Genomic DNA, 19426 nt, shown 5'->3' with positions numbered 1-19426 from the left:
AGAGCCCCTTGCTACTCAAAGTGTGGTCCGTGGACTGGCAGCCCGTCTGAAAGGCAGACTCTCGGGCTCCACACAGAAGAAACACACCCAAACCCACGTTTCACAGGATGGCAGAGTCCAAGCGTGAGAAGCAAGGCCTGCTACAGGCTTCAGGTTCAAAGGCACCTGCAGAACACTGAGTCTAACCCCTTAGTTGATCATAAATCCCCTGACATAGAGTTTTCCCTCAGGAGAGGGGTCACCTAATATTCCATGACCCTCCCACATTAATTTATTTTGAATATACTGTGTGGGGGAAAACGTATTAGCCTGAAACAACCTCGATCAATACTGCAGAGGCCACTCAACAGGCTAGATAAAAACCACCACCTAAAAAAGCAGAAATGTCATATTAACTCAATTCTTCCAGGGGGTATAAAAGTATTGGTTGTCATTGAGAACAAACTTGTCAGTGGTCCGCGGATCACCCCCAGGCCAGTGATTCCCTAGGATTCCCAGGACTTGGCACAAAGGTGCTCTCACAGCTGAGATTCATTACAGCGAAAGGATTCCACACAAAATCAGCAAGGGCAGAGGTCCATGGGGCGATGTCCCAAAGAAACCAGGCTTGAGCTTCCAGAATCCTCTCCCAGCGGGGTCACGCAGGACGCACTTAACTCCCTACACAGTGAGCCGTGACAACGCATGTGCAGTGTCGTCACCAGGGAAGCCCACTAGAGACTCGGTGCCAGGGTTTTTACTGGGGGCTGGGCACATGGGCACCCTCTGCCTGCTTCGTGCCCAGACTCTGGACTCCCAGAAGAAAGGAAGGTTCTCAGCACAAACCTTGTTCCCCACACAAGCAGCTAAGCACAGGGAGCCCCTCTTCATTGAGGGTGGTGGGCACCGTCCTGACACCAGCGGGGGGCCAGCCTTGCACACAGGCCTCTCAGGATGGTCTCGGGCCTGCTGTGTAGTCTCTTCTGCAAGACTCTTTAAAGATCACTTTAAAAAGCAATACAGTAAGTGATTGTGTTGTGAAGACACAAAATAGAATAGAGGGTATGTTTTTTTAAAGAAATAATTGTTTTAGGCCAGGTGCGGTGGCTCACGCCTATAATCCCAGCGCTTTGGGAGGCCGAGGCAGGTGGACCACGAGGTCAGGAGATCAAGACCATCCTGGCTAACACGGTGAAACCTTGTCTCTACCAAAAATACAAAAAAAATTAGCTGGGCATGGTGGCGGACGCCCGTAGTCCCAGCTACTCGGGAGGCTGAGGCAGGAGAATGGCATGAACTCGGGAGGTGGAGCTTGCAGTGAGCCGAGATCGTGCCACTGCACTCCAGCCTGGGTGACAAAGCGAGACTCTGTCTCAAAAAATAAAATAAAATAAAATAAATAATTGTTTTAAAGTTAATAACTTCTAATAGAAAAGATTTTTGTGTCTTGGGATAAAGTTTCCAGCAATAGGATCATAAACAGATTTGAAGTAATTTACACACATAAAAGCTACAGAACTAGATAGAGTGGAAAGGCTATTACTAGGTGACTCCAAAAGTGGCTTCAGTGATGACAAAACACGGACACAGAACATGCGTACTTAGTAAAATTATGTTTTGATGGAAAAGAGTAAAAAATGAATATAAATTACATTACTCAATATCTAAGTAGTACTGTATTAATAATTTAAATATTAGGACTGGGCATTTAACTATTTAAAATCATTAAAAAATGAATTTAAAAAATAAAATAATTAAAATTATTTTATAATTTTTTAATAATTAAAAATTATTAAAAATCATCATTAAAAAATAAATAAATAAATGTAAAAGTTGGCCAAGAAACACGTCTGGGGATCGATCTTCTTAAGAGGTGTGACAGGCTGGCTGATGGCCCCTGATACACCCACATCCTCACTCCCAAGCTTTTGGATGGCTCCTCCCATCCACGTGACCACGTGAAGGCTCTAGAGATGGGGAGAGTGTGGGGTGCGCCTGTGTGAGCCTGGGGTCAGAGCCAGAGGGGACGGCCACATGAGGAAGGATGCGGAGACTGCAGGGATTCAAGGATGGGTCTCGAGCCCAGGCAGACGGGCAGGCGGTCACCTCCAGAAGCCGGAAAGGTGAAGGAAGCAGACTTAAAGTCACCAGAGGAACCAGCTCTGCCACACCTGCCATCAGCCAGGTCACACTGACTGCAGACACGAGGCCCCCGAAAACGCAGGAGAATGAATGTGTGTTGTCTTAAGCCCCCCAGTTTGCAGTAATTTCTTTCAGCAACCCCAGGAAACAAATACAAGGGGGAATCACTTTGTCACGGGTGAGGGGAGAGGGAAAGCAGGACATGCGTGAAACGGTCTCACTAAAGCACGCTCAGAAAAGCATCTGTCACACAACAAAGGTGCTGCTGTTCCCGGCAAGTGCCAGCTATCACTGTGAACAGCCCCAGGACAGCAGGTCATGAAGCCTTGATGGCTTCCTCGGGGAACAGAACACCTCTCGGCTTTCTCTTCCAAACAGGAATAGATGCTGCCTCAATGAAAGACATGACTTCCCAGTTTATTCGCACCATCCGCCTCACACTGTGTGACATAATGATGGACAATGTCTTCTATGCAGTCCACCCAATTTTTCTACTAGACTCTTACTGTCATGGGCCTCTGCTTATTAAAAAGAAATGGTTTGTAACTCATGTAAGTAATATCTTATTATCTATAATCACGTTTCTTTGTTTTTATTTTTTAGAGACAGGGTCTCACTCCATTGCCCAGACTGGAGTGCAGTGGCACAGTCATTGCTCGGTGCAGCCTCAAACTCACTCCTGGGCTCAAGCCATACCAAGCACACCCCCATACTCGGCTAACTATTTTTTTTTTTTTGGAGAAAACTGTATTGAGATATTTTAAGTCACGTATCTAATATAAAACCAGTTTGCATTGTTTCAGCTTGTCTTCCTTGGAACCTGTGGTTGCCCTTCACCTCCTTCTGGCAATTTAAATTGCTCTGATTTCGGCAGAATATTCCCCGGACATCAGGACCATCTCCACATTCATCCCAGTCTTTGAGACAGCTCCCGGAGATCAGCTTCCTGGTCAAGCACAAGAATCTCAGCAGCACCGTGATCTTCCTCTCTCTCCTGGCCAGGTAAGACCCCGACTTTCAGGTGGTGGTTCCTCTTGCTGAGGCTGCTCATCACTGGGCTCAAGCACAGGCCCAGTTAGCTCAGGAGGCTGCACATACCGTCTTGGTCTAAGCCTACATGCTGATCTTCCTTGCCAACTCATATTTCAAACGGCTGCTTCTCAGTAGTGGGTAAAGAGTCCAGAACGCAGGAACGCAACCCTCACACCCTCACAGGTCCACAGTGTTCACCACGTGGGCAAAGGGGCCAAGGAGAAGACACCCAGTGAACCTTGGCTAATGTTTTAATTTTTCTGTAGACGAGGTCTCACTATGTTGCCCAGACTAGTCTCAAACTTCTGACCTCAAGCAATCCTCCCACCTTGGCCTCCCAAAATAATCACATAAGTTCAGCTTATAGTTTAATTTTTTTTAAAACTGTATCAATTAATAGTAAAGCTAGCAGAACAGACAGTGAAATTTAGAAGACCATGGGGTACTGGATTCCAGCTGAACTTCCATTACACCATCGGGGCTACCAGTAAGAACGCCTGCTCCCAAGCCCCTGCACCTCCCAGGGACTCTGACTTAGTAAGTCTGGGGCAAGGCCAGGAAGCTCCAACTTCCCCCTACACACCTTCCAGCTAACTCTGAATCACCTTGACTGGAGATCATTTAACCCAGCCTCTTCACTGTGTGGAAAAGGGAACAAGGTCCAGCCAGAAGTAATTCATCCAAGCCCTGAGGCACAGATGGGATGTGACACGAAGGTCCCCACTCGCCGCACAGCACTGCCACCTCCCATCAGGAGTCACCGACCACGTCACACAGGCTGAGTGTCCCTTAGAAGAGATTTTTGGGACCAGAAGGGCTGTGGATTTTTTCTGATTCGGAACATCTGTATATACGTAATGAGATATGTTTGGATAGGACCCAGGTCTGAACAGGAAATTCATTTATGTTTCATATACACCTTATACACACAGCCTGAGGGTAATTTTGTGCGGTACTTTTGATAATTTTGTGCATGAAACAAGGTTTGTGTACACTGACCCATGAGAAAGCAAAGGTGTCACTAGCTCAGCTATGCCTGAGGTGCCACATCGGTGTCAGAGGGTTTCCGATTCTGGAGCATCTGGATAAGGGATGCTCAACCCGCACTGTCACTCCTTCACTCATTCATCATTAAAAACTCATGGTGTAAAGAGGACAATAAAACAAAACAAAGAAAAAAAACTCAGGGTGATCTAGAAATAAATATTGCTGCCATGACACTTTTCTATTCCCTTCTAAAGTTAAAACCTCCTATAAAAGGTCCTGTTCTGATAAACTCCTCCACTCATGCCGGGCAGCACCCAAGACCTGCAGGTACAGAGATGGGTCCTAGGCCTGAGCTACGATGCAGCAGGCCCCGAGCGAGGCAGGGCTGGAAAGACCAAGCCAGCACCCGTCCGCACTGCCCGTGCACACAGTGTGAGGCGAGAGAGACGCCGTCCTCCGAAGGCAGAGAGAGTCTGGGGGCACCGAGAAGAAGAGAGCAAGGCACAAGAACAGCACAACATCAGCAATCACGGCCTCCAGGGTGACCCCACGGGCTGCAATGGCAGCCGCCACGGCCAGGACTTGCTGTGCAGCGCATGTCATCCTAAACACCATCATCGCTCTGAGGAAGGCTCTGTTACAATTCTCGCGTGCAGATGAGGGAGTGGGGGCACAGAGAAGCTAAGTAACTTGTCTACCAGCACACAGCCAATTAACGGCAAAGGTGGATTTGAACCCAGGCTATTCTTGGCTTACCCACACTTACGTGGATGCACAGAGGAAGGGCCTGAGACAGCAAGACACCACGCCACCTTCTCCACCTGGGACCTGCCCCCGCAGGCGCCTGCCCACCTCACACCCTCCCATAGTCATCATGTCCCAGCAGCCTCCCCCCACCACCACCTCACAGTGCCCACAGCTGCCGAACACCCACCTGGCACCCCCCTCCCACCTCATCAGGGACACACACACCAGACGATCTGATACCCGCCCCATGCAGACCCGCACTGGCCATCCCTGCATCCAGCCACCTCCCATCATTCACCTGAGAGGCCCTCCAAGTCCCTGGCCACTCTTCCCAGACCTTCCCTGGACCCAGAGCAGCATGGACCTGCCCGCCCTGGACACAGCAGGACACGGTGCCAAAGGGAGTGAGCTGGCAGATTCTGGAATCACCAAGGCCACTTCCAGGCCATTTTACTGAGCCACCAGTCAATACCTCTCCACACTTCCCTTCTTGGGGTGCAGCGTGGACTGGAGACAGCCCTTGCCTTGGCCTTCCAGGCCCCAGCTCCTCTCCCGCCCGGTTCCCCTCAGAGGACACCTGCCATTTCCCGGGTCCCAGCTCCTCCCCGACACGGTTCCCCTCAGAGGACACCTGCCATTTCCCGGGTCCCAGCTCCTCCCCCACACGGTTCCCCTCAGCGGACACCTGCCATTCCCGGGTCCCAGCTCCTCCTCAACACAGTTCCCCTCAGCAGACACCTGCCATTCCCAGGCCCCAGCTCCTCTCCTGCTCAGCTCTCCTCAGAGGACACCTGCCATTTCCCGGGTCCCAGCTCCTCCCCCACACGGTTCCCCTCAGAGGACACCTGCCATTTCCCGGGTCCCAGCTCCTCCCCCACACGGTTCCCCTCAGCGGACACCTGCCATTCCCGGGTCCCAGCTCCTCCCCTGCACGGTTCCCCTCAGCGGACACCTGCCATTCCAGGGTCCCAGCTCCTCCCCTGCACGGTTCCCCTCAGCGGACACCTGCCATTCCCGGATCCCAGCTCCTCTCCCACCCAGTTCTCAGCAGACACCTGCCATTCCCAAGTCCCAGCTCCTCCTCAACACGGTTCCCCTCAGCAGACACCTGCCATTCCCGAGTCCCAGCTCCTCTCCTGCTCAGCTCTCCTCAGAGGACACCTGCCATTCCCAGGTCCCAGCTCCTCCCCTGCACGGTTCCCCTCAGCGGACACCTGCCATTCCAGGGTCCCAGCTCCTCCCCCACACGGTTCCCCTCAGCGGACACCTGCCATTCCCAGGTCCCAGCTCCTCCTCAACACAGTTCCCCTCAGCAGACACCTGCCATTCCCAGGCCCCAGCTCCTCTCCTGCTCAGCTCTCCTCAGAGGACACCTGCCATTTCCCGGGTCCCAGCTCCTCCCCCACACGGTTCCCCTCAGCGGACACCTGCCATTCCTGGGTCCCAGCTCCTCCCCTGCACGGTTCCCCTCAGCGGACACCTGCCATTCCAGGGTCCCAGCTCCTCCCCTGCACGGTTCCCCTCAGCGGACACCTGCCATTCCCGGATCCCAGCTCCTCTCCCACCCGGTTCTCCTCAGCAGACACCTGCCATTCCCGAGTCCCAGCTCCTCCTCAACACGGTTCCCCTCAGCAGACACCTGCCATTCCCGAGTCCCAGCTCCTCCTCAACACGGTTCCCCTCAGCAGACACCTGCCATTCCCGAGTCCCAGCTCCTCCTCAACACGGTTCCCCTCAGCAGACACCTGCCATTCCCGAGTCCCAGCTCCTCCTCAACACGGTTCCCCTCAGCAGACACCTGCCATTCCCGAGTCCCAGCTCCTCTCCTGCTCAGCTCTCCTCAGAGGACACCTGCCATTCCCAGGTCCCAGCTCCTCCCCTGCCCGGTTCCCCTCAGCGGACACCTGCCATTCAGCAGTGCTGCGAGTGCCGACCGCGTCTGGGACTCCACGCAGGCTCAGGCTGCAACATAAGGAAAACAGTCCCTTCCAGGAAGACCTCTCAGCCTTCAACAAAGGGCCTGGGAGGGCACAGGTAACCCGGGATGCAACAGATGACAGCACAATCCTGACAGAGCGGCTCCCAGCCCTGAACGGCGCCAGCCGCTTCCCAGAGCTAAAGGCAGACAAGAATCTTCGAATGCAAAGGGCCCACCAAGCCCTGAGCAGGGAGATGAAAAAAGTCCCACAAAACTTTCAGAAGAAAAAGACAAGTCTCACACAAAGGCATGAGAATCTGCCACCAGACACCTAAGAACACAGAGCCTGCAGGTGCGTGGGCCTTAGGCAGCCAGGTGGTGGCCTGGGGAGACCATCACAGGGCTGCACAGGCCACCCAGAGCACGCAGCACCACAGACCAGCTGTTCTCCCCATACACCTCGCACCCCAGCCGCCCGCGGAAATAAGTACGAATCGCTAGCCCCGCTCCAAGACTTACAATCTGCAAACGGGGAGGGTGCCTCGCCATTTCAGTGCCACGGCCCGCCTGCAGCAAGAGGAGCGCCGAGCCAACACGCTTCACATCTAAACCTGCCCTGAGTCCTGTGACAGTGAACAGAATCCCTCGCGTCGAGGACACAGCCTCTTACTAACGCCGGCTGTTGAGATCGTCACATGTGTTTCTTTCTGTTCACCTCCTGAAGTGCACCGGCCCTGTCTGGCCAAAAATTGGGGTGCTGCAGGCGTTGGGAGGAACACAGCAGACGCAGACCTGCAATTCCCCAACCAGCTCAGGGCCAGGGCCCTAGCAGCACCAGATGGACGGGCACTGTGCACACGGCCCCTGGGCCCAGAGCTGCCCGCACACCTGACCGCATGGTCCTGGGGCAGCTCACCAAGGCACCACTCCAAGAATCGCACAAACACCAGCCATGCTTCCTAAGCCCCTGCACGCTTCCTCTGCCCAGGCGCCCCCAGTCATCCTGGTGAGTCTGGCTGGAACCCAAATACACCAGGTAAGGAAAATATGCCCTGCTCTTTCTAAGAGACTTTTTGGAACTTTGGGAAGAAAGAAGGAAGGACCCTTTTTAAAAGGACTGTTTGTCAGGCAGGACCTTCTGAGTGTAGAATTTCGCGTCTCCCGCCCAAACACCAGGGCACTTAAAGGAGTTCTGCTAACACAAGGAAACAGGCTGCCATCTGTCCACACACTTCACAGTGGGGAGCGCTCTCTCCATGCCAGGCACAGTTCTAGGCACGAGCAGGGGCCACGAGGCCTCGAGGCTGGCACACCCACGGCCCAGGGCAGGTGCGCGATCCACGCCTGCCGAGTGAGGGGAGGAGGGAAGGGTGCCAAGAACCTATTTGACTGAAACATTCTTGACTTTCTCAAGTGTCTGAATGCAATTATTTCTGTGCATGTTTTCTACATTTTCTAAAAAGAACTTTTTTGTACTAAAAAAGTAAAAGTAAGAGGGTTGATGAAGTTTTACATAAAGGCCATCATAATCATGAATAAAATAAATAACTCCTAGTTTTACGAAAATCTACCTGGCCTCCTCTCTTCAGACCCACAGCATCCCACCCCAGGCTGGCTTGGTGGAGACGGACCTCATGCCGTGTGCACACGCTGCCGCAGCGTGGCCTGTCCCCAGCGGTGCGCGGGCTCATGTCCAAGACAGTCTGCCTAAGAGCAAGGTGCGTCGGCAAAGGCCGTATCCCAGGACCGGAAAAGCAGCCGGCGGCAACACGTCGGCAAAGGCCGTATCCTAGGACCAGAAAAGCAGCCAGCGGCAACACATCCCATAAAGCTCCTAAGCTTGTGGGGGGAGGCAGTTAAGAGGTGTGAACGATGGGCTCACTCCAAACCCCACATCCATCAACAACAAACTTGGTCAGCACCAACTCAGAAAAGAGAGTGATGTGATGAGAAGGAAACCAAACATCGGAAACTGACGAAAACCCACCCTGGCACATTGCTTAGTTGCCTAAAATGAGGAGCTAGGAAGAAGCCTCCAAAAAAGCACCTGGAATCCACCGTCACTCCCTGACCCCAAACCCCATCACCCCATCACCCCTCTACCCAGCCCAACCCAGCTCCTCCAGTGAGGGCTGTTGCTACTTGCCGGGTTCACAAGGCAAGAGCTGTGTTGTTCCCACCCACCAGCGTCCCCCAGGACATTCCCTACCCAAACAGAAGCAGAGTGCCACAGAGGGTGGGCTCAGACACCCGGGACCACTCTCTGCTCCCTGCTCGGTCCCCTGCACCAGTTACTGCCTCCCCAGGCCCTGTGCAGTGATCCTGAGGCTTCGGTGCCGGAGCAGACCAACAGCTATTTGTGTTTAAGGAAGGAAATGTCATCAAGGCCAGTGCCTGACTGAGGAGCAGAGGGTGCCACATGTCTACAAGCAAGGCAGGACAGGAGCCCAAATATTCAACTCCAGTTATGCTAAAGAAATTTAGATGAAACAGGGGTGGAAAGGCTGTGCCGCTTATCGAGCGGGACTTCCCAAATCAGCCTTTGCCCCCACACTCACACTCCCCATGGTGGAGTGATACCTGCATCCGTCTCCTCGTCTCCACACCCTCCTCTAAACTCATGTCATCGTCATCGCACCTCCTGCCACTGACTCTCCTCTGAGCAGCCCACTGCCAGGCGGCCCCCAATGCTCCAGCCAGCCAGCTCCTCCTTCCGCTTCTGTCCAAGGCAAGCCTGCTGTGCATGTGACATCAAGACAATGGTGCTGTGTGCTGAGCACCAACAAGATGGCTGGAGCCTCTGTAAAGAGACGAAGGGTGGGCCTCACAGCCTCTCATGGAATAGCCAGGCCCTGAGAAGCTTATGGGCATTAGTCCTCACCCTTCAGGACCCCAAGGCAGAGCAGGGCTCATCTCAGAGGGATGCCAGGTATGGCTCGTGCCTGATGGAATGGACACCAGTGAGACTCCCAGGAGGCCCATAAAGTTAGAACTATCACTGCCAGCTTGAACTACAAGGGTCAGAGGCAGTACAAAATAAAAAGTGGGTGCTGGACCCGGAAATCCTATCAGCAGGAAGCAGGCTGAGAAAACAACTCAACTGCAAGCAGCTGCTGTGTTTCAAACAAAGGAAAGCATGAGTCAGAGAGAGGAATCAAAGCCTCCAAGGGCAGAGGGACAGTTATCAGTCCCAAATCATGACACTTGAACAAGGAACTGCCACCATCTGCCAGGCTGGGTCTCGGAAGTGAGGCCCACCTGAGGCTCCTTCCTGCCTCTGAACTGCCACCATCTGCCAGGCTGGGTCTCGGAAGTGAGGCACATCTGAGGCTCCTTCCTGCCTCCATTTTCCCTCATTTTGAACAGGAAGGTCTGGCCTGTGGTGCTTGCCATGATGGCACCGTGGCTGTGGTTGGATGAGCTGACGGCGTGTCTCTCTAGTTCAGGTCAATAGACCGGGGTACCGTGCACCCCAGGAGCTGCATCTCAGCCCACCTAGAGCCAGTTTAGAGGATGACGCGGGACTCTGAGCAGATGCTGTCATGGAAGGACCTTGCGGGGAGTGTATTTTGTACATGGGAGGGACATGAATCTCTGGGACCAGCAGGTGCACAGTGACAGGTGGTCTCTGAGATGGCCCCCATGACACCACCTCCTGGTCATCCTGCCCCTGCAGTCCCTCCACTGGGGTGTAGGCTGGACCTAGCGACTCGCTTCTAACAAACAGAATGTGCAAAAGAGATAGGATGTCACTTCCAAGATGAGGTTTTCAAAAGACCATGGCTTTCGTCTCGCTCATGCTCTCCCTCACTCCCTCTCAGGGAAGTCACTGCCTGGCTGTGAGCTGCCCAAGGAAGCCGCCCACGTGACAAGGAATGGATGTCTCTGGCCAACAGCCAGCAGGGATGTGAGGTCTTCTAACAGCGATATTAGCGACCCTGGAAATGGATCTTCTGAGGCTGCCAGCAGCCTCATGAGTGTGCATGGAAACGAATCCTCATCGCACAGCCCTGGCCAACGCCTTGATCACAGCCCTGCGTGAGCCTCACCAGGCAGGACTCCTGATCCCAGAAGCCTTGCAGCTACAGACGCAGTGTGCTGCACAGCGGCAGCGAACCAACGTGCCACGTGATGCAAAATAGCTCCAGGGTCGTTTGACTTGCTGCCATTCCTGCTATAAGCACAAAATGGTGCTGTACTTATATCTAGGTGGCAATGTAAAGCAGGTAGTTTCAAAAATGGTCCCTGAAATCTACTCTGTGAGGAGGTGATTAAGGAAATCACACCAGATACACCAGAGACAAACTCTACAGAATGGGGAAAAGCGGCTAAAAAGAAGCCGAACTGATCATAATCTCACAAGCGAAGTCTAATTATCCCGTTTTACAAATGAGGAAACCGAGGCTCCAGCACCACGACTGGAGGCAGTTAGGATTCAAAGCCAGGCTGGCTGACTGCAGTCCGGGCTCTACAGTGCAGCCCCAGCTGCCTCCCTCTCCACCAGCACACTCCCGGGAGAAAGCGGCCTCCCTCAAAGCTCACGTTTCCACTAACAAAAACTACCTGGTTCTCAAGAGTGTCTCAGTTCCTGGGTAGCTTTAGTCTCCTGAATCTGAATACTAATAACCTACGTTTAGGCAGCAGGTCAGCAGCCACCAACATTATGAGTAGTTTTTGAATAAATATGCATAGTTTTTGAATAATACATTAGGCTGAACTGAAAAGTACAATACATAAAATGTCCCAGGTCAGCATTTTGTCATCATGCATAGTTTTTCGTGGGTTTTTAATAAATGTCACTTCTTGAGGTTTTAACATTTCAAATCCAAAGAAACCAAGAGGCTGAGCATCAGGGACACACACATTAAATGCCTCAATTCCGGCCTCATGGAGCAAATGCGCTTTCTTCCTCTTCCATTGTCAGTCTCAGAAAGATCCCACACATTGCTAGGCAGCAGCACAGCGACTCAGTGCTTACAAGAGAATTCACTCAAAAACTAATGCAGCTTTTAGAATTCAGAAGTATGGCAAACATGAATGATTAGGGGAAAGAAATAAGAGGTAAAGAAGAAATTAAAGACTGGCAACTTTCAGAATGCTTCGTTTCTTTGAACACTTGAGAAAAAGGTATATACTATTACAGTCCAGCAACAGTAAAAGGAAGTAGCATTCAGAAAGTCATATAAAGTTGAAGAAATAGTTGTGCTAACATCACACTAATACTAATCACATAAAGTGTGAACACTGGCTTTAGCTTCTGTAGCTCCGTTTTACTTCTAGAGAACACATCAGGGGCAGGTCTGTGGGGCGGGGGGAAGCCAGGCACCCAGGGAGACAAGCTGGCTTAGTTCCTCCTTCCTCTTGTTCCCCCCACTACCAGGGCAAGCTCAAGTTGCTGAGGAAGAGGAGGGGGCTTCTCCCAAGGAGGGGAAACTCTGCAGGATCCTCCAAGGACCCAGAGTCCATGAAGCAAAAGAGCCTCCAGGGACAGAGTATCTGCACAGATGCTGAAATACAGCACTGCTGGTTCCAGTGTCCTCCAGCAAGGGCCACAGAGGTGAGACTGGGGGAGCCAGCAGGTGCCCTGTGGCTGTCACCTGTGTCCCCATCCAGTCGGAGGCCCTCCCACATCCTCCCTGCCTAGGTCGCCGTACCGAGGCTCACCTTGCATGGTGGCCACACCTCCTGCTGGACTCCCCGCTGTACCCCACTTGCCGGCCCACCCTGCCCTCACCCTCCTCCTGCCCACAGCTGCCAGCGCTTTGTCCTTCCCCACTTCCTAATCCCTGCCCAAGCACCTGTCCCACTGGGTCCAGCCTCTTGAGGCTCTCTCACTGGGTCCCTCCCCAAACCTCAACATCCCCCTCGGTCAGACCCACTTCCTCGTGGCCCCATGATTTTCCTGCTCACTCATTCATTCGTTTATTCATTCAAGAACTGTCTCGTGGCTTCTGCAGCAGCTCCAGGTGGGCAACTACGAACAGGCAACCAGTGACGGTCCTGAACTCCCAGGGCCAGCTGCCCCGGGGTCACAGACAGTTAAGACAGCCCAATGCCACAGTGCACAGCAGGGCCAGGCCATGCAGGAGGACACCATTTGCAAAAATCACTCTCTCTTGAAACGGGCCCTCTCTCCTCCCCCCACGACTCTGTGGCTCAGCTCATAGCTCACCTCCTACCTGAGGCCCCCAATGACTCCTCCAACACCCCCAGCCTCTAGGCTCTGAGAACCTAGCCACAGAGCAGGGGCCCCACACTCCGGCTGTGCCTGTTCACTCCTGGGGCGCCTCCCTTCTCATGCACAGAGACGTCACCCCACAGCCTTCCGGGGCTTTCTGATGTGGTGCTGTGGGCACACACACAGGCCCCCGTGCAAGGGGCAGGAGGAACCACTTCTGTAAGCAGGGGGAGCGGAGCCCACCAGTCACAAGAGGCTGGGAGGGGCTGAGCACAGCAGGCCCCACCTGCCCGTGTCTCTGTGGTTTTGAAGGCCACACAACGTGAACTCCAGAAACTCCAATCCTGCAGAAGCACCACACCACAAAGACACTCAGACAAGAGCGGGAGCCAAGCCCCCAACCCCACCCACCCCAGACCACAACGGCCAGGGCCCAAAGCCACGTCACAGGCGCCAACCTGACCCTGCGGTCAGTCCAGCAGGGCCTGCCCTGTGAGCTCACTCTGGGCACCGGCCTGGTGATGACCTGGCTTCAGGAAAAGTGAACAGGACACACGGAGGCCACAGCCCTCCAGGATACCCCCGTGCGCCACAGCTGATGAAACTTCCTGATTCCAGAAACAAACACTATTTCAGTATCTTTGGAACACTGAAGGTCAAACCTCCTCAATTCTTCCTTTCCATTTGTATTTGACTTTCCCTTTTTATCTCTACTTGATATTTACTTCTGTTTGTGGTTTTTAAATCTGTGCAGAGTGAGACTATAAATGGAGTTGCCAGATTTAGAAAAAAAAAAAAATACAGGATACCCAGTTAAATGTGAATCTCAGATACATGACAACTTCCTAGTATGAGTGCGCCCCAAATGCTGTGCGGCAACACTGTACCTGGCAAGTCTAGCCCTGGAGAGAGGCTGTGTTTAAACCTGGCTCATTCCAACGTCCATGTTCTTCTCCTCCTCCTTGCTGGCACCTCGGAGGTCCCCCATCACCCCACCTGGACATGTCACCTCTGCGCCCCCCACCCCTTCATTCCCTCATACCTGCTTCCTTGGACAAAACCCACAGTGGCAGGTAAAGGACAGGAAAGGACAAGCACAGCCCAGACCCCGGCCTCACTCTCCATCCCCAGCCCTCGGACCCCGGCCTCACTGTCCATCCCCGGCCCTCGGACCCCGGCCTCACTCTCCATCCCCGGCCCTCGGACCCCGGCCTCACTCTCCATCCCTGGCCCTGGCGGGCCTCTCCTTAGCCCAAAACACCCCAGAAAGACTGAAACCAATTTTTCTCATCAACAAATGGGTCTTATTTCCAATCAGCCTCCTACATGTGATTCTCCTATTCACCGACACCTGGTAACCCACCTACAGGATTCAAGGGAAAAAGACACAGAGGGTTCCACCACTGTTTTGTGTTCACTAGGCCTGAAGGGGTCCTTTTGCTTTTAGTATCTTATCCACTCTCAGAAAGACAAAATCATTGCCAATGTTCACAGTACTGTGAGCCTCTTCAGCACCAAGCGTGTTAAGGACAAGCTGTGCACCTGTCCTGCCCACAGGGCAGCCGGGACAGACCCCATGTAACAGAGGAGGGCAGCCGGGACAGACCCCGTGTTACAGAGGAGGGCAGCCGGGGACAGACCCCGTGTTACAGAGGAGGGCAGCCGGGACAGACCCCGTGTTACAGAGGAGGGCAGCCAGGACAGACCCCGTGTTACAGAGGAGGGCAGCCGGGGACAGACCCCGTGTTACAGAGGAGGGCAGCCGGGGAGGCTCCTGGGGCCTGAAGCGCTGTGCCCTTGTGACCTCCTCACGTGGCTCCTCACCACCCCCAGGTCTAGGCAGGTGCAGTGGGGCAAACGGCAGCCCCAAAGATACCAGGGCCCAATCCCCAGAAGCTGTGATTGTGACCCTATTTGGAAAAGGATTATGTTAAGGATTCTGAGATGAGGCAATGATCCTGAATTTCCCAGGTGGGTCCTAAATGCAATCACAGGTGTCCGTAAAAGAGGGAGGCAAAAGGGACACACAGACCCAGAGAAAGCCACGTGAGAGAATGCCACATGGGGACAGAGGCAGGGACTGGAGCAATGCAAACACAAGCCTAGCAATGCCGGGAGCCCTGGAAGCTGGGAGAGGCAGGAAGGGTCTCCCCCTAAAGCCTTCGGAGGGGTCACAGCTCTGCCACACCTTGACTTCAGGCTTCCAGTCTCCAGAACTGTGACGGGACCGGGGGCTGCTACTGGGCTAGCCCCTCGCTGGTGATAATTTGTGCCAGCAGGCACAGGAACTCCTAGGAGGGGCGGGCCCAGGCAGTCCTCCTCCTCCCAGGGCCAACGTCCCCAGCCTCGCAGGGAGGAATCTGGCTGCTAAAGGCTGGAATCCACAGAGCTGTCCCTCTTCCACACGATTGTCTACTAACTCCCAGGCTGGACTCCAGGCCCCTGGAGTGCAGGGCGCTCTGGCAGGCGGGGCAAGCCAGCCCCTCACCCTGCCTAAAGCACCTTCACTGCACTCCAGCTCAGCAGAGCCCGCGGCACTGCTGTCTCCAGCAGCCTGGCACACAGTGGGGGCCAGACCCAGATGCACTCAGTGAAGGCCTGGGCGCCTCCGAGGCGAGCACCTGTTCCCAGCAGAGTGCAAGCCTGCAGCGATGCCACCAGCACCATCGCTAATGGTGACCAGGACTCCCAGGTATCAGCCACTGCTCCTAACCGTTTTCCACACATCATGCTATTTAAACCTCACAACAACCTTATTTTATAGACAAACTGCAGCACAGAGTTAGAAAAGACTGTGGGGGTGAGGTGAAGACCGCGGAACAGCAGCCACAGGCCAGGCTGAGCCTTTCCTCCCACCCTCAGTGAGCCTGGAGGAGACCCAGCCTAGCACACCTGCGTGGGGTCCAGGGGTCCAGGGGTCATGGGCCTCTGGAAAGTCAAAGAAGAGCCCATAGGCCCTATCCTTATGGTGCTCGCATCAGAGGAAGGCAATAAAGGACGCACAGTCTCTCTGCCACCAGGCTCATCAGGTTAGTTGACCCATCCAGGAAATGCATCTATTCTAGGCTAACACTTAAGATCCAGAAGTCAGGTGTTGGTAGGGGAAGAACTTTCTTTTAACTGGAGTGCTAGCTCCCTGATCACTTGAACGCTCTATGAGAAAAACAAGCAAACTGCCAAAGACCAATGCCTGGCTACTAATCAAAGTGCCGGCAGCTCTGTCCGTAAATTGACAGTTCCCACATCCTCCCACGCTGCTAAATCAAGTTCCAACCAGACACAAGACACAAAAACCAACTCTGGGAGGTCCTGGAGAGCTATGAAAAGCAGGCAGAAAGTGGAGGGGAGTTGTCCCCTGAAAGGAGAGAGCTGCACCAACTAAAACAAGTGTTTCTAAAAATGGCTAGAGCACAGGTAGAAGTTGTGATCCTCCCAGCTTGAAGAGTCCAAGATAGGGCTTGGGGAGGGCTGGGTGGCTGAACAGTGAGGGGCATATCTCAGAAAGGAGGTCACTGGGGAAGAGGCAGTCGTGAGATCTGTTAGTAAATTCTGCCTAGGTCCTGGCCAGTGGTGAGCCATCCATGCACAGAGAGACCCCAGAGTCCAGCAGAAGGAGGCAGCCGGAAGGTCAACAGCACCAAGCAGAGACTGCAGCAGAGATTTTCATTTGAGTCCAGACAAATTAACTTCCAGAACAAAAATCAACACTCTTCAGAAAAAAGAAGTCACTACAGTTACCATCTACAATGTCCAGTACACCATCAAATAACACTAGATGTTCAAAGAAACAGGAAGATGTGGCCCATAGTTGGAAGAAGCCAATAGAAATTGATCCTGAGGTAATGCAGGTGTTGAAATTAGCAGAAAAGAACATTAAAGCCGCTAGTATGTGTTCAAAGATTTAATGACAGTATGATCACAATAAACAAATGACAGAGCAGAGAAATGGCAACCATAAAAAATAAGTGAAAATTCTAGAAATAAAAACTACTGTAACTGAAATTTTAAAATGCACGAAACTTAATAGCAGTTTGAAGATGGTGAAAAATTACATATCCAAGAAGTTCAACAAACCCTGAGCAGGACAAATACAAAGCAAACCCTCCTAAGAACATCACAATCAAACTGCTGGAAGCCAAAAATCCCAGGAGGAGCTTGAAAGCACCTCATCATATAACATAAAGGAGCAACGCAGCTACCAGAGTGACTGACTTCTTAGAAACAGCAAAGGGGCAACATGACGAGACTATGAAAAAATAAAATGAAAAGTAAAAATTGCCAGTTGTGGGGGTGCATGCTTGTGTTCCCAGCTACTCAGGAGGTTGAGGCAGGGGGATCGCTTGAGCCCAGGAGTTTGGGGCTGCAGCGAGCTATGACTGCACCACTGCACTCCAGCCTGGGCAAAAGAGTGAGACTCCGTCTCTTAAAAAAAAAATTGAACAAACATCAAAGAGATCAACAAGATGAGAAAAAAGAGAATTAGAGGATCAACCTAGGAGGTCCAACCTCCAAATAAAAGTTCCAGAAAGAGAAAACAGCAAAACTGAAAGAAAATTATCTTTGAAATTTAAAAACTTCTATCCTCAGACTGAAAGGGCCCACGGAGTGCCCAGCACAATAAACGGAAGCAGATGCCATTATCGGGCTTCTCAGAACACTGAGGGAAAAGAGCCGCTTCTATGAGCTTGAGGCAGGAGAGATCACACACAGAAGAACTGAAATCAGAATGGCGTCAGACCTCAACAGCACAGAAACCAAATGCAATGAAGCAACATTTTCAAAATTCCGAAAAAATCATTGTCTAAAATTTTATACCCAGCTAAGTTAAAAGGTAATTGGAGAGTAAAATAAAGATGTTTTCTAAATCAAGGACCAAAAAAAATACCTATGTGATGTTTCTTAGGTATCAAAAGAGTAGGACTTCAGCAAAACGAGGAGTGAGCCAAGCAGAGAGAGAAGAGCAGGACCCAGTGCACAGGGAGCCCCACAGATGGAGGACAGCAGCGGGAAATGCAGGTGACAGCGGCGCAGCAGGTCTCCTGGAGACCAGGGCAAACGAGAGCAGGGAGAAGGCTCCAATCCCAAAGGGGTGGGGATGGGGCTAGTGTCCTGGATGCAATGAAAAACAAACCATTTTGATAGGTGGGTGACTAGAAGATGCTAATCCACAGGGCTGTGCGAGAGGACCTGTGCTCAGGGCACTCCTTGGCGCAGTAATGAGCAATGCTTACAGTCACACAAGAGCAAGGACTGTCGATTTCACCAAAAATGCAGTGATTATGATGGCACATAGAGGGACAGGGAGGCTGGTGGGACAGAGGAGAGCTAAACCTCCCCACGGCCTTTGGGAGAAATAAAAAAAGAATGTCTTAAGCTTTAAAGGAGCAGCTTCAACAGCAGTAAATGCCTGAGAAAACAGACCACTTAGGATCCCGCCTCTGGGGGCTGCGGCCAGGCAGGGCAGGAGAATGCCTACAACTGGACGCTTCAATCCACAGACTCAGCCCTTTTTCAGGCATGCTGGAAGGACAACTAAGATCACTGCTAAGGGACACAAAGATGTAGGAAAAGATATGTGAGTAGAGTGTGTATGCGTATCGGGTATCACCATGATTACAGAGTTGGGGACAGCAAGTGCATGGAAAAGCAGAAAGAAAAGAAAAACAGAAAGAACAAACTAGATGTTTCTTTTCTCTTTCACTGAAGTCCAGACCTTAAAAGACACAGAAGAAGGGAACTTCTAACACAAGAGTTCCTTGCCCGGAGCCCGAGGCAAGAGGCTCCTTCATGGAAGAATCTAGGCAACTTCTGCAACGGTGGCCCCCAAAACCACAGGTAAAACTGCATGAGCACTGTGTGGAGTATCCAGTTTGGAACTGGTAACGACCCCACCTCCTAAAAAGGCACAGCATGAGTGACCTCCCACAACCTCTCATGACTGGGGCTTGCATCCTGAGCAAGGCTTGTCTTCCTTCCCAGGACACCTGTTTCCAGGATGGCTCCCGCCTCTCCCCAAGGGCAGGGAAGTGAAACCACAGGGACCTTCCCTGGACAAACCCTGCCCATCCCAGAGAAGAGGCATGAGACGGGTGCTCCTCGCACACAATGGGAAAAGTGAAGTCATTTCGAAGACAAGTGAGGAGCCTGCTGTAGGCTGAATAGCGATCCCCAAAGATATCCAGGCCCTAATCCCTGGGACTGTGAAAGCCATACGGCAATACGGATCTGCAGATGTGAGTAAACTAAGGCTCCCAGGACAAGGAGATTATCCTGGAAATTTGAACATGGCAGAAGAAGACAGAAGCTAGGCGCGGTGGCTCGTGCCTGCAATCCCAACCCTTTGAGAAGCTAAGGCAGGAGGATCACTTGAGGCTAAGAGTTCAAGATCAGCCTGGGCAACATAGTGAGACCCCATCTCTACCAAAAAAAAAAAACAGAAAAAA

At 52.5% G+C, this 19426-nt stretch overlaps 1 protein-coding gene and 1 pseudogene across 14 annotated transcripts in view, besides 4 other annotated features; both read right to left on the bottom strand.

Moving 5' to 3' along the window:
- The window catches only part of RGS12 (regulator of G protein signaling 12), a 154023-nt gene that overhangs the window by 124139 nt on the left and 10458 nt on the right, over positions 1-19426 (bottom strand). For 5 of the 14 annotated variants that reach the window (NM_198229.3, NM_002926.5, XM_047416055.1 and 2 more), the window contains exon 1: positions 826-964. The exons of the other annotated variants lie outside the window; for them this stretch is intronic. The gene's annotated coding sequence lies outside the window, so the exon portion shown is untranslated. Of the gene's footprint in view, positions 1-825; positions 965-19426 lie in introns of those variants that run through there. 14 annotated transcript variants of the gene reach the window in all.
- Positions 2846-3354, bottom strand: LOC100286945 (X antigen family member 3 pseudogene; annotated as a pseudogene).
- Positions 6733-7451: an enhancer, noted in NCBI's record as "H3K4me1 hESC enhancer chr4:3310051-3310769 (GRCh37/hg19 assembly coordinates)". NCBI's record gives its function as "activates a minimal SCP1, AML or CMV promoter by ChIP-STARR-seq in naive H9 embryonic stem cells {active_cell/tissue: H9 hESC(naive)}" and the evidence as "EXISTENCE:reporter gene assay evidence [ECO:0000049][PMID:30033119]".
- Positions 10668-11317: an enhancer, noted in NCBI's record as "H3K4me1 hESC enhancer chr4:3306185-3306834 (GRCh37/hg19 assembly coordinates)". NCBI's record gives its function as "activates a minimal SCP1, AML or CMV promoter by ChIP-STARR-seq in primed H9 embryonic stem cells {active_cell/tissue: H9 hESC(primed)}" and the evidence as "EXISTENCE:reporter gene assay evidence [ECO:0000049][PMID:30033119]".
- Positions 12924-12983: an enhancer, noted in NCBI's record as "active region_21220". NCBI's record gives its function as "activates an Ori minimal core promoter by ATAC-STARR-seq in GM12878 lymphoblastoid cells {active_cell/tissue: GM12878}" and the evidence as "EXISTENCE:reporter gene assay evidence [ECO:0000049][PMID:35858748]".
- Positions 13004-13053: an enhancer, noted in NCBI's record as "active region_21219". NCBI's record gives its function as "activates an Ori minimal core promoter by ATAC-STARR-seq in GM12878 lymphoblastoid cells {active_cell/tissue: GM12878}" and the evidence as "EXISTENCE:reporter gene assay evidence [ECO:0000049][PMID:35858748]".

This window comes from Homo sapiens, chromosome 4 (genome assembly GCF_000001405.40).
Source record: "Homo sapiens chromosome 4, GRCh38.p14 Primary Assembly".
In the NCBI taxonomy this organism is placed as follows: domain Eukaryota; kingdom Metazoa; phylum Chordata; class Mammalia; order Primates; family Hominidae; genus Homo; species Homo sapiens.
The sequence above is the reverse complement of the archived record's forward strand: the minus strand, read 5'-3'. Positions and strand labels throughout refer to the sequence as shown.